This window comes from Homo sapiens, chromosome 8 (genome assembly GCF_000001405.40).
Source record: "Homo sapiens chromosome 8, GRCh38.p14 Primary Assembly".
NCBI lineage: Eukaryota > Metazoa > Chordata > Mammalia > Primates > Hominidae > Homo > Homo sapiens.
Window position 1 is genome coordinate 118,693,125 of NC_000008.11, and position 14,463 is coordinate 118,707,587.

The 14,463-nt window shown below is 39.9% G+C and overlaps 1 long non-coding RNA gene across 1 annotated transcript in view, besides 1 other annotated feature; it reads left to right on the top strand.

Moving 5' to 3' along the window:
- SAMD12-AS1 (SAMD12 antisense RNA 1) overlaps window positions 1–14,463 on the top strand; it is a 105,067-nt gene that overhangs the window by 72,124 nt on the left and 18,480 nt on the right. The window lies entirely within an intron of this gene.
- Window positions 1,500–2,000: an enhancer, noted in NCBI's record as "H3K27ac hESC enhancer chr8:119706863-119707363 (GRCh37/hg19 assembly coordinates)". NCBI's record gives its function as "activates a minimal SCP1, AML or CMV promoter by ChIP-STARR-seq in naive H9 embryonic stem cells {active_cell/tissue: H9 hESC(naive)}" and the evidence as "EXISTENCE:reporter gene assay evidence [ECO:0000049][PMID:30033119]".

The following is a 14,463-nucleotide window of genomic DNA, read 5'->3' on the forward strand; positions in this document are numbered from 1 at the left end:
CTGCTGAGAAATATGCTGTCTTAGTCTGATAGGTTCTGCTTTATAAGTTATTTTATGTTTTTGTCTCTCTGCTCTTAGAATTCTTTCCTTCACATTGACTGTATAGCCTAATTACTATATGCCTTGGTAATATTCTTTTTGCAATGAATCTTCCAGTAGCTCTTTGAACTTCTTGTATCTGGATGTCTAAATCTCTAGCAAGACCTCAATCATTCCCTCAAATATGTTTTCCATTTTTTTTTTTGCTTTTTCTTCTTCTCCCTCAGGAATGCCTATGAATAAATTATTAGGTTTGGTTATGTTGCATAAGCTCATATTTCTTGGATACTTTTTTCATTTCTTTTAATTCTTTTTTCTTTATTTTTGTCTGATTGGTTATTTTGAAATCTTTGTCTTCAGGCTCTTAAATATTTTAATTTCCAGAAGTTTTGTTTTTCTTTTTCTTACTATCTCTAGAAATTTTTTCATTCATATTCTGATTTTTTAAATTTATTTTTGTTGTTTTTCAATTTTCTCTTGGATCTCATTGAGCAACTTTGTAATCAATATTTTGATTTCTTTACCTGTTATTTTAAGAATTTCATTTTGGTTTGGATCCATTGCTGGAGAGTTAGTATGATCCACTAGGAGTGTTGTAAAACTCTGTTTTTTCATATTGCCAGAATTATTTTTCTGGTTCCTTCTCATCCTGATAGACTATTTCTTAATAGTTTTTAATTTATTTTTGATTGGAGTGGGTTTTTCCCTGCTTTGAAGATGTGATTGCTTAACTTCAGCCCTGGATGTTTGCACAAATTCAAACCATATCATTTGCCACTGCCACCTCCCAAATCTCATATTCTTCTCACATTGCAAAATACAATCATCTCTTCTCAACAGTCCCCCAAGTCTTAACTCATTTCAGCATTAACTCAGAAGTCTTCAGTTCAAAGTCTCATGTGAGACAAGTCCCTTCCACCTATGAGCCTGTAAAATAAAAAATAAAATAAAATAAAATAAAATAAAAACAAGATAGTTACTTCCAAGATACAATCGGGGTACAGGCATTGGGAAAATACTCCCATTCCAAAAGGGAGAAATTAGCTAAAATAAAGAGACTACAGACCCTGTGCAAGTCCAAAATGCAGCAGGGCAGTTATTAAATGTTAAAGCTCCAAAATAATCTCATTTGACTCCATGTCTCACATCCAGGTCACACTGATGCAAGGGATGGGCTCCCAAGGCTTTAGGCAGCTCTGCCCCTGTGGCCTTGCAGAACACAGCCCCCATGGCTGTTCCCAAGGGCTGGTGTTGAGTGCCTGCAGCTTTTCCAGGTGCACAATGCAAGCTATCGGTGTACCTACCATTCTGGGGTCAGGAGGATTGTGGCCCTCTTCTCACAGCTCCACTAGACAGTGCCCCAGTGGGGACTCTACGTGGTAGCTCCAACCCTGCATTTCCCCTCTGTACTGCCCTAGTAGAGGTTCTCCATGAGAACTCTACCCCTGTAGCAGACTTCTGCCTGGACATCCAGGCTTTTCCATATAATTTTAAAATCTAGGCAGAGGCTTCCAAGCCTCAACTCTTGCACTGTGCACACCCACAGGCTTAACACTATGTGGAAGCCACCAAGGCTTGAGGCTTGCACCCTCTGAAGCAGCAGCTTGAGGACCTGAGCCCCTTTGAGCCATGGATGGAACTGCAGCACCTGGGATGCAGAGAGCAGTGTCCCAAGACTGCATAGGGTAGCAGGGCCCTGGGCCTGGCGCAGAAAACTATTCTTCCCTCCTTAGGCCTCTGGACTTTTGATGGGAGGGTCTGCCACAAAGGTCTCTGAAATGCCTTCAGGGTCTTTATCCCATTGTCTTGGCTATTCGTACTTCTCTTCCTTTTAGGTAAGCACATTTCTGCAGCCTGAAAATGAATTTTTCTTTTCTACCATATGGCCAGGCTGCAACTTTCCAAACTTTTATGCTCTGCTTCCCTTTTAAATTTAGGTTCCAGTTTCAGGTCATTTCTTTGTTCACACATATGAGCATAGGATTTTAAATGCAACCAGACTAGATCTTGAACACTTTGCTGCTTAGAAATTTCTCCTACCAGATACCCTACATCATCCTTCTCAAGTTCAAAGTTTCACAGATCCCTAGAGTAGGGTCACAATACCTCCAGGTTCTTTGTGAATGCATAACAAAAGTGACCTTTCCTCCAGTTCCCAGTAAGTTTCTTATCTCCATCTGAGACCTCATCATCCTGGTCTTCTCTGTCTATATCACTATTAGCATTTTGGTCAAAACTATTCAACAAGTCTCTGGGAAGTTCCAAACTTTCCCTCATCTTCTTGTCTTCTTCTGAGCCCTCCAAACTGTTCCAACCACTGCCTCTTACCCAGTTCCAAATCTACTTTCACATTTTTGGGTATCTTTATAACAATGCCCCTCTGCTAGGTACCAATTTTCTGTATTAGCCCATTCTTGCACTGCTATAAAGAAATACCTAAGACTGGGTAATTTATATTAAAAAAAGAGTTTTAATTTGCTCACAGTTCCATAGGCTGTACTGGAAGCATTGCTGGGGAAGCCTCAGGAAACTTACAATCATGGCGGAAGGCAGAGGGGAAGCAGGTACACTTTTCATGGCTGGATCAAGAGGAAGAGAAAGAAAAGGGAGGTGCTATACACTTTTAAACAAGATCTGATGAAAACTCATTATCACAAGAATAGCAAGGGGGAAATCCACCCCCATGGTCCAATTGCCTACCCCAGGCCACTCCTCCAACACTGGAGATTACAATGTGACATGAGATTTGGGTGAGAACACAAATCCAAACCATATCAGGCTAGGATGGCAGAGATCTCATGAAGCTTTCCTTGTTCCCCAGTGGTTTCCACTTTTTTTTCCTCAGGTGTTTTTTCTCTACTAGGTTGAACAGTTCAGCTTTCATGCTGGTAGGAGGTGCCCACGGGTAAGAACTGGCTACAGCTATAGCAGGTGGGTATATGCAATACTCCAATGGTGGGAAAATGTCGTAGCCCTGATGGAATTGGCTGAGGGAGCTCCTGGTGAAATGTACTGAGGTCTTTGCAGGGGGAAGGGAGGGAGTTGCCTCAGTTTTACTACCAGGTTGGCAGAAAAGTGATCCAACTCCTCATCACACTCTTGTTCCAGTGTTCTGGTGTTCTGGGTATTCAGATTAGACAGCCCCCCCCCCCTTTTTTTTTTTTTTTTTTTTTTGAGACAGAGTCTCATTCTGTTGCCCAGGCTGGAGTAGTACAGTGGCCTGATCTCGGCTCACTGCAACCTCCGCCTCCCAGGTTCAAGTGATTCTCCTGCCTCAGCCTTCCAAGTAGCTGGAATTACAGGCATGTGCCACCACACTCGGCAGACAGCCATTTCTGTTCATGTGTAGGATGCTGTCATTCCATCTAGAGAAGGAACAGGCTGTAACTTTCATGCAAGCCTGAGCCTACAGGGCATACCTCCCATGGAGATGCAGTCACCCCAAAATTTGTACAGAAGATAACTCAACCAAAGTTAAACAAAACCCCAAACAACCATACTTCCATTTCTTTACATAGATATTATCAGAAATAACCAATATTTTGTACTATATGCCTATATTAGATATATTTCATTTTACCTTATTCCTTCATTTTCTTCTACCTTTTTTATTCTTTAAATGGATGCTGTATCATTTAGTTGGCCAAAAATAAATATAGAATTTACTATTTGCATATGGGTAGTACCTGTATTTGTAAGTCTATCCTCATTTGCATCAAGACCTTGAAAAGAAGAAGGAAAATTTGGGTGCATTGAAATAAATAAATACTCATCCTTGTCAATATCTTCTAGGCATATTTCTTCAATAGGGCAAACAATTTTCCATTCAAGTGACTATATTCATCTTTAAGCCAATTCAAACCAATTTAAGCAATAACATTTTATGTGATTTTTGTTACAAGCTTCACCAAAGGCATTGCAATTATGAAACATCTACTTCATTTCCTTCAGCCATTGATTTTCTAATTTGTTGGCAAAAATCTATGACTTCAGTCTAAAGTGATATTTTCTTTATAAGGCCATCTTATCTTTTGCTTACGATCCCATTGTGTTCTAACTGTTTAAAGATTTTTCATCTTATTATATTTGTTTCATTATATTGCTAAGGTACAATTTCTGAATTATAATAGCTGGCTCAGCCATTCCTACCTGCTCTGTGGAATGATAGCATATCTGTTTTCCTCTAATCATATGGCGTGTCTTGAGTGCTTTGTTTAAAGACAATTATAAGCAATTCAATAGATGTTTGCTAATTTTCTTATTATGTCACAATGCATATCATTCAGACCAAATGTTTATGTTCACACTGACTCGAATTACTCCCCACCTGCACTTTGCCAATACTTTTTTTGAATTGTCTCCATTATTCTTATTGGGCAAGTTTATTTTTCTAATTTGACTTGGTAAGCAGGAGTTGAAAAATGACTACAATCATTTAGTTAAGTTTAGAGTCATAATAATTTAGTACTCTGTCTTTTTATTAGCAGACTTGTCTTCTGTAGCGTTTAAATTTCTCTTGGTATATTTGTTTAATCCTTTTTTTTCTTTCCATTTCCTTTTCTTTGCATAAGAGTAGCAATAATTTTATAATTCTGGATTTTCACTCACATGATCAATTCTGGTCACACTCTCTAATAGAGCAGGTATTTTTCCCCTTTCCTTCACTGTCCCTCTCTGTGGAACTATAAAGCAAATTATAGACATTAATTTTTATGACTTAGAGACCAAAGTTAAAGAAAATTCTCAACAAGATTTACACAAATGACTACCATCATTTGCCTTCATAAGAACTTAAGCTTTAAAATGCTGGCACTTTTAAATCCTATCTGCAGGTATGAAAAATCTGCACTTTGGCACAAATTGGGCATGGTAGAAAATTGTCGTGACATTTAATATATTAAGTAAGGGAAGTGAGCGAGAGTGAAAGGAAGGAAATTAATGCATGTGTAGCTATCATGACTGACACAGTTAGACCCTGTGATCTAAAATTTAGAAATTACACTATATGATGAGGGCCTTGAGAACTTGTTTATAACAAAAATAGTAATTAAGACAGTCTCAGTGTATAGACTCTTTCTTTGAAAAAAAGAAAAACCTCACCATTTGCACATGTGATCTCATGCTTTTCAAAATGAAATTGATAAAGATGGTTAATTATCCAAGATGACCACACATACCACTGTACATATAAGGAAATCAAGGCTAGCAGAGTAAGATTGGCCAAGGTCTTTCATCTAGGTGGAGGCAAAACTGAGACTGTGACCTGGGCCTTCTTCCCACATTATTGCATTTTGTGTATATGAATATGTCTGTCTAGTTAGAGAACTTCCAGCAGTTCAGTTTGGCTGCAGTTCTGGATACAGATATAGGCTCAAGGATCTTTAACACCTGGATGAATTAAATACTTAATTGGTGGTCCAATGGGAACCATTCAACCTATTGAATGGGAATATCATCTGGTCTGAGATGGGTTTCCAAACCTTTCTTAATCCATATTCCCATCTTCCAAACAAGTAGGGTTTGGGGTTCCTGTATCAGAGTTTAATCTGAAAAGCCACTAGTATGTGTACCCACACATACACACATGGAGACCCACAGACACACACGCACATAGGTACTTGTGGCAGGGATTTGGCTGTATGGGATGGGAGCTGGTTAAGTAGTTACTGTGAAGTTGCTGTCTTTGTACCTGTTATTGACGCTTAAAGTTCACAGCCCAGGCAATCCTGAAGAAAATATGTAAGTAAAGCAGGGGAGAGCATGATCAAGCTATAAGCCACAAGTGTGAGCTGGAGCCCATGAGGATAGACTGAAACCCGTGTGTGCTTTTATTGCTTCTGATCTGGGTGGTGGAGGTACGCTTCAGAACCCAAGGCCCTTCGTCTTGAAGTTAAATTCAGACAAAATTATTTTGGTGCATGAATCAAAAAAGCTTGTATTAAATATTGAATCCATTTTTGTTGTTTCATTGCTGAATCCAATTTCATGTTGTTTCATTGCTGAAAGCATTCAAGTCCCACCACTCCTCCTTCCTCTTCTGCTCCACATATGGGCAGGCTGATAAGAAAGCCTGAATGTTCCCTCCTCTGGCACTGGCAGGAAGTCCAAGCTACATCAGCCCTAGCCTTATCCTCTAACCACCCAAGCCAGTCTCTTTTTATTTTTTTATTTTTTTATTTTTATTTTTATTATACTTTAAGTTTTAGGGTACATGTGCACCACGTGCAGGTTAGTTACATATGTATACATGTGCCATGTTTGTGTGCTGCACCCAGTAACTCGTCATTTACATTAGGTATATCTCCTAATGCTATCCCTCCCCCCTCCTCCCACCCCACAACAGGCCCCGGTGTGTGATGTTCCCCTTCCTGTGTCCATGTGTTCTCATTGTTCAATTCCCACATATGAGTGAGAACATACGGTGTTTGGTTTTTTTTGTCCTTGCGATAGTTTGCTGAGAATGATGGTTTTCAGCTTCATCCATGTCCCTACAAAGGACATGAACTCATCATTTTTTATGGCTGCATAGTATTCCATGGTGTATATGTGCCACATTTTTTTAATCCAGTCTATCATTGTTGGACATTTGGGTTGGTTCCAAGTCTTTGCTATTGTGAATAGTGCTGCAATAAACATACGTGTGCATGTGTCTTTATAGCAGCGAGATTTATAGTCCTTTGGGTATATACCCAGTAATGGGATGGCTGGGTCAAATGGTATTTCTAGTTCTAGATCCCTGAGGAATCGCCACACTGACTTCCACAATGGTTGAACTAGTTTACAGTCCCACCAACAGTGTAAAAGTGTTCCTATTTCTCCACATCCTCTCCAGCACCTGTTGATTCCTGACTTTTTAATGATTACCATTCTAACTGGTGTGAGATGGTATCTCATTGTGGTTTTGATTTGCATTTCTCTGATGGCCAGTGATGATGAGCATTTATTCATGTGTCTGTTGGCTGCATAAATATCTTCTTTTGAGAAGTGTCTGTTCATATCCTTTGCCCACTTTTTGATGGGGTTGTTTGTTTTTTTCTTGTGAATTTGTTTGAGTTCATTGTAGATTCTAGATATTAGCCCTTTGTCAGATGAGTAGATTGCAAAAATTTTCTCCCATTCTGTAGGTTGCCTGTTCACTCTGATGGCAGTTTATTTTGCCATCCCCATCAAGCTACCAATGACTTTCTTCACAGAATTGGAAAAAACTACTTTAAAGTTCATATGGAACCAAAAAAGAGCCTGCATTGCCAAGTCAATCCTAAGCCAAAAGAACAAAGCTGGAGGCATCACACTACCTGACTTCAAACTATACTACAAGGCGATAGTAACCAAAACAGCATGGTACTGGTACCAAAACAGAGATATAGACCAATGGAACAGAACAGAGGCCTCAGAAATAATGTCGCATATCTACAACCATCTGATCTTTGACAAACCTGACAAAAACAAGAAATGGGGAAATGATTCCCTATTTAATAAATGGTGCTGGGAAAACTGGCTAGCCATATGTAGAAAGCTGAAACTGGATCCCTTCCTTACACCTTATACAAAAATTAATTCAAGATGGATTAAAGACTTAAATGTTAGACCAAAAACCATAAAAACCCTAGAAGAAAACCTAGGCAATACCATTCAGGACATAGGCATGGGCAAGGACTTCATGTCTAAAACACCAAAAGCAATGGCAACAAAAGCCAAAATTGACAAATGGAATCTAATTAAACTAAAGAGCTTCTGCACAGCCAGTCTCTTTTTCTTGCTTTCTCTCCTGTCATTTTTACAGGTTCTGCTTGAGAACCTCTCTTGCTCTCCCCAGAAAACCTCATTATGTGGGTAAGACCTTTTCATAACCTCTTGATGCATGTGTAGTGTCATCAGTCTCAGCATTTGAACCAAATTTTGGGTCATGTGGGCCCATCCTACCTCTGTGTGTGACCACTATAGAGTTGGTAGATCCAAAGAAAGTGGAGCAGTTGTCACCCCAGTCATGCCAACATGCCAACGATCGGCAACAATGTATGTGAGCTACGGAAGGACGATGCTTCACTGCTGCCCTCCAAGTCTCTCCTAAGAATCTCCGTTGCAGCCTACTCTAACTAGAAACATACAAGAAAGGAATTTTGAGAAATGTAGATCAGCCAGGACAAGTTACAAAGCCACTATAGTTCGTTTTAAATTTCATCATTTTTCTTGACATATATAATCATTTAATAACTGCCATAATGCAACACATAATTTATAGTCATCAGCATCTCCTCTTTTTCCATTAAATAAGATACTATTAAAGCACTTAGTAGATTTCCATCGCAAAAGTCCATGAGACCAGGCATCTGCCTTCCATTTACAAAGCATTTTTTTCATTGGATGTGTAAATACATTTCTTACATTCTCATTCATCACCTTTTTTTGTTTTTTTTTGAGATGGAGTCTCACTCTGTCACCCCGGCTGGAGGGCAGTGGCACAATCTCAGCTCACGGCAACCCTCTCCTTCAGGGTTCAAGCTGTTGCCCTGCCTCAGCCTCCCAAGTAGCCGGGATTACAAGCATGCACCATTATGCCCAGCTAATTTTTGTACTTTTAGTAGAGACAGGGTTTTGTCATGTTGACCAGGCTGGTCTCGAACTTCTGACTTCAAGTGGTCTGCCTCCCTGGGCCTCCCAAAGTGCTGGGATTACAGGCATGAGCCACCACACCCGGCCCATCCCTTTTTGACTTGGCCTTTGGTTCTCCTTTTGCCTTCTTCTCTGGTTTTCTGGTATAAGACTTGGTGTATTTGGGGTTTTATTTTAAATAATCCAGGTCTATTCATTTTCTCCAAGTACATTTCAAGAGCAAAACTAAAATCTTAGAAAAGGGAAACTAATGTCTGGGTGCGGTGGCTCACACCTGTAATCCCAGCACTTTGGGAGGCCGAGACGGACAGATCTTGAGGTCAGGAGTTCAAGACCAGCCTGGCCAACAAAGTGAAACCCAGTATCTACTAATGATACAAAACATTAGCCAGGCATGGTGGCATGCACCTGTAATCCCAGCTACTCAGGAGGCTGAGGCAAGAGAATCACTTGAACCCCATAGGCAGAGGTTGTAGTGAACCGAGATTGCACCATTGCAATCCAGTGTGGATGACAGAGCGAGACTCCATCTCAAAAAAAAAAAAAAAAAAAAAGGAAAAGGGAAACTAATGTGTAGAGGGTTTAATGAAATATTGGCAGGAAAATAATCTCTTTGTTTTGCTGTTTTAAACAGGAGGCATGTTGAACAATATAGGGAAATACAAATGTTTATTTGTTAGGATCTCTCTGTGATGCCGGCTGAGTCCCAGGAAAACACACTCGGAGATCGACATGGTGGGCTTTTGTTAGGGAGTGCTCTTGGGATCAACCTGTAAAAGGGAGGAAAAGAAGTAGGATTGTGCAGAGAAAGAAGCTGGGCTGAGATGCAGTCCAGTGGAAACCTCAGTCATTCCTATGGGGAGTTCTGAAGATGGCATGACCCTTGGGTCCCTAGTTGGAATGAAAGGGCTGGTCTTTTACAGGCCTGTGTTAATCAGTCATTGGATGTGGGCTGTTCTGGGACTGGGACAAGGTGTGTGACCTTGGATGAGTGGCTTCCTTCAAGATAAGGTAATCTCTGGATGGTGCTGATAGCTGAGAACTAATAACTTCATTTTGATGAGAAATCTTGATGGTGTGTCACTGTGACCCACATATTCTGAAAAAAGGTGCTTATAGAAGGGCAATTTTCTATGAATGCTGTTTTGCTATCCTATTATGGAATATTCTCTATTAACTCAGTATTCAATATCCATACTATTAGTGGTTAAGGGGATAAGATCATAATAAAATGCATCCTTAATACTTTTTTTATGACTCTCACGGTCAATTACACACTTCCTATGTCTTTATATCAGAGTCTTACAGCCATGTCAGTATGCCACCTCAAAAATGTTGAAAAAACCGATGAGTTTTGTAGAGTTTGCTCAGGGGGAATGAGCATTTTCTGCCCTCTCCTAGCCCTCCTTCTCATCCTGTCAGGTTCACCTGAGCTAAGTGGATCTCCGGAGTCTAAAATGGAGAAGATAAAAATAACTCAAATCATCTTCCCTCTGCCCGTCCACCTTGAACCTGTTCTCTTCTCTGCTCTGTGCCCTGCAAAGCTGATCCTTGAGGTCGACATTTTTCACCTCCCTTTCTGGCTGGCTTCTCATTGGGTTAAACCAGTGGGAGGCAAGAAGAAAGAAATTGGCTTGTTGAAGGAGAAAAAGGTCGGAGAGTTTCTTCCCTGCTGTCTCCATGTGTCAATGATGCTTCTTCAGCAGTAGCAGTGTCCTGTGGTAACAACCCCAGCCAGATAGTCCCTCTTCCAGGTTCCCAGCTCTCACTGGGCTCCAGTTACACTAGTTGAACTCTTTCGGTGCTGACCTAGGGTGGGAAGCATTAGCACATGGGCCATTACAGGGCATGCCCAGATGGGCAATTTTATTCTTCCATTAAAAAAAAAGATCAATAGCTTTGTTACTATACATAGTTTCCAGGAGATTTGTCCCTAGAAATTCCATTACATTTGGATGTCACTCAGGATCAAAGCAACACCTGCAAGTTTTTATGTTATACCACACACTCATCTTCCCTTAATTGCTATCTACCGTTTAAGGCTGATAGCAATAAATCCATACGCAGTGTGAAAGGGTAGCTGTGAATCCTGAGGCAACAGTTTATCATCATTAGCAAAGGTGATAAGGCAGGTACCTAGAAAACTTGGAAGGTCTCCTGCAAAATTAGCAAGAATGCCTGCCAAGCTCAGGCACTCTGACTTCTGCACACCTTTCTCTAGGCTGCCTGTGGCCAATTCTTTCCAAGTTTGTGCAGGTCATATCCTCCTTCCCTGCAGGCAGTTTTCTTTACCACTGTTTGTTTCATCGTAACAGCTGTTATTATTTAGTGACAGTGTGAATTATTAGGAAGAACGTATTTTATAAGTGATGTGATTCCCTTCTCTCTTCCCATAACAGAGAAGCCACTACTATGTTTCTAAATTTCTGAGTACTCTTGAACTAGTAGAGCCAGGAGATCTTATGGGTTGGGTCCATCCAGGAGGATTAATTGTGGATTCCTCAGTGGAGAAGGGAAAGGATGGGCAGAGTGCATGGACAGGCAGAGTTAGAGGCAGTGTCAGAGTGACTGCTGAGACAGAGAATAAGGTCAAGTTGGCAGAGACCAAGCCCTGCTTTGCACCAGTGGGGAGAAGGAAGCTGTAAAACTGGTGTGTGGAAATAACTCCTATGAGATGCATCCCTGGGCTTGTCCAGGGCAGCTGTGGTTGGGAAGATGGACTTTAATATTGAGCAAGCCAAAAATATTCAAACAAGGGTCACAATGTGGACTAATATTTTAAATATTCTTTTATAGTTTATTTTATTTCGATAGTTTTGGGGGAACAGGTGGTTTTGGGTTACATGGATAAGTTCTTTAGTGGTGATGTCTGAGATTTTGGTGTACACTGTACCCAATGTGTAATCTTTTATCCCTCATTGCCCTCACCCCTCTCCCACCTTCCCCTCGAGTCCTCAAATTCCTTTATGTCATTCTTATGCCTCTGTATCTTCACAGCTTAGCTCCCACTTATAAGTGAAAACATATGATATTTGGTTTTCCATTCCTGAGTTATTTCAGTTAGAATAATGGTCTCCAACTCCATCCAGGTTGCTGTGAATGACATTTTGTTCATTTTTAAGGCTGAGTGGTATTTTCTTTATCCACTCGTTAGTTGATGGGCATTTAGACTGATTCCACATTTTTGAAATTGTGAATTGTGCTGCTATAAGCATGTGTGTGCAAATGTCTTTTGAATATAGTGACTTCTTTTCCTTTGGGTAGATACCCAGTAGTGGAATTGCTGGATTGAATGGTAGTTCTACTTTCAGTTTTTTAAAGGCATCTCCACACTGCACACTGTTTTCCATAGTAGTTATACTAGTTTACATTCCCATCAGCAGTGTAAAAGTGTTCCCTCTTCTCCACATCCACTTCAACATCGAGTATTTTTTGTTTTTTTAAATTATGTCCATTCTTGCAGGAATAAGGTGGTATTTTAAATTTGCATTTGCCTGATAGTGATGAGCATTTTTTCATATGTTTTTTGGCCATTTGTGTATCTTCTTTTGATAATTGTCTATTCATGTTCTTTCCCCACTTTTAAATGAGATTATTTGTGGGTTTTTTTTTTTTTTTTTTTTTTTTGCTGATTTGTTTGAGTTCCTTATAGATTTTGGATATTAGTCCTTTGTGGGATGCACAGTTTGTGAAGATTTCCTCCCACTCTGTGGGTTATCTGTTTTCTCAGCTGATTATTTCTTTTGCTGTGCAGAGCTTTTTAATTTAATCAGGTCCCATCTATTTTTGTTTTTGTTGCATTTACTTTTGGGTTTTTGGTCCTGAACTCTCTGTCTAAGCCAATGTCTAGAAGAGTTTTTCTGATGTTATCTTCTAGAGTTTCTATGGTTTCAGGTCTTAGATTTAAGTCTTTGATCCATCTTGAGTTGATTTTTGTGTAAGGTGAGAGATGCGGATCTAGTTTCATTCTCCTACATGTGGCTAGCCAATTATCCCAGCACCGTTTGTTGAATAGGGTGTCCTTTTCCTGCTTTATGTTTTTGTTTTGTTGAAGATCAGTTGGCTGTAAGCATTTGGCTTTATCTCTGGGTTATCTATTCTGTTCCATTGGTCTACGTGCCTATTTTTATACCAGCACCATGCTGTTTTGGTAACTTTAGCTCATGGATGGGTAGAATCAATATTGTGAAAATGACCATACTGCCAAAAGAATCTACAGATTCAATGTAATTTCCATCAAAATACGATCATCATTCTTCACAGAACTAGAAAAAACAATCCTAAAACTTACATGTAACCAAAAAAGAGCCCACATAGCCAAAGCAAGACTAAGCAAAAAGAATATATCTGGGGCATCATATTGCCTAACTTCAAACAATGTAGACTAATTTTAAGCAGCCATTTACTTACTTATTTTAATGTGCATACGGAATATATATACTCTTTACATGTTAAAAATGGTTGAATGGCTATTCCTTTTTTTCTACTAATTAAATGAATTTGAAGAACATATCAAGAAAATAATAATATTGTATAGATAGTACCTAGATGCGTAAATTCCTGAAGTAGAGGAATATCAAGTATTGTAATGGAAAAAGTTAGAGGAGGCCACAACCATCAAGACCTGGCCCCTCTTCCAGTATTTCTGCCACAAATTTTCAGGATGTTTCTATCAGTATAATCCCATGAAGGAAGTGAATGGAGCCAGACATTTACTGAAATTGAATTTCTCTGCAACCAGAAGAATGGAGACTTAGACTAGGTATAATTTGATTTAGAAAAATAAAGGGAGGTGTGCTAAGTATTCTACTTGTTCTCCTATCAATTTGCTCTCTACTCTCTCAGACTTCCTCTGTGCCCTGCAAAATTCCAACAGGCTGCTTTGCCCTCCAGCTTTAATTGGGTTTGCTCAGGGCTGGGATTAGGGTAAAAGGAATGAGGACCCCAGGGTACTGCGAGGGCCTCTTTAAACTGTATGCCTAGTTCTGGTCCTGTATTCACCAATAGGAGACAGGATAGAAAAGAATGATGTTGGTGTATTAATTCCCCAGCTTCCTCTCTGCCGGATTGCTGGGGGTTTGTTGCTTTCTTCCACTGAGGCAATGGTTTCTATCAGCACATTTCTCCATACAGTTCTTCTTCCAGGTCCCCCAACCTTGTCCTTATTATTTCTCTCAGTGTGTGTGTGTGGTGTAGGGAAAGGGATGGCTAGTGAAGGCAGGGGAGGAACCTGGTTGTTACAGCTGGCTCCCTGCTGTTACTAGACCTAGGGTACCATACCATTCCTTGTTATTGCCCTGGGGGACTCCACCATTCCTTGTTCCACACTGGAGTGCAACACTAGTCCTTTTAGGAGACTAAATCCTGCCCACAACTCTATAAATATTCCCTTTATTAAAACCTCCCATTTACTTGCTTGACTTTACTATCTGTTTCTTGCTGGAACGAAAAGGGATATAGCACATAACATGTCTTGATCCCTGGAGCTATGATCTAAAATTCAACTCTTTTACATTTAAGAAATGAAGTAATTTTCTTATTGCCTGTTTTCCTATGAGTTTGCTGGTTCTAGAGTGGACAGGGCCATTATCTGTTGTCACCAGTGTGTCCGTAGGGCCTAAAAGCTTAGTATATGCTTGTTGACTAACTTACTATCGACAAAATCTATGTCACAATTTCCCTATATAAGAACAAAGAACAAGGAATATTGTATACTTGTCTGTTAGAATAAAATCTTGCAACAGAGAAATAGGCTGAGAAAAGAGTGGCGAATTTATTCTCTGTCTCTGCCTCTATAATATATCATTAATT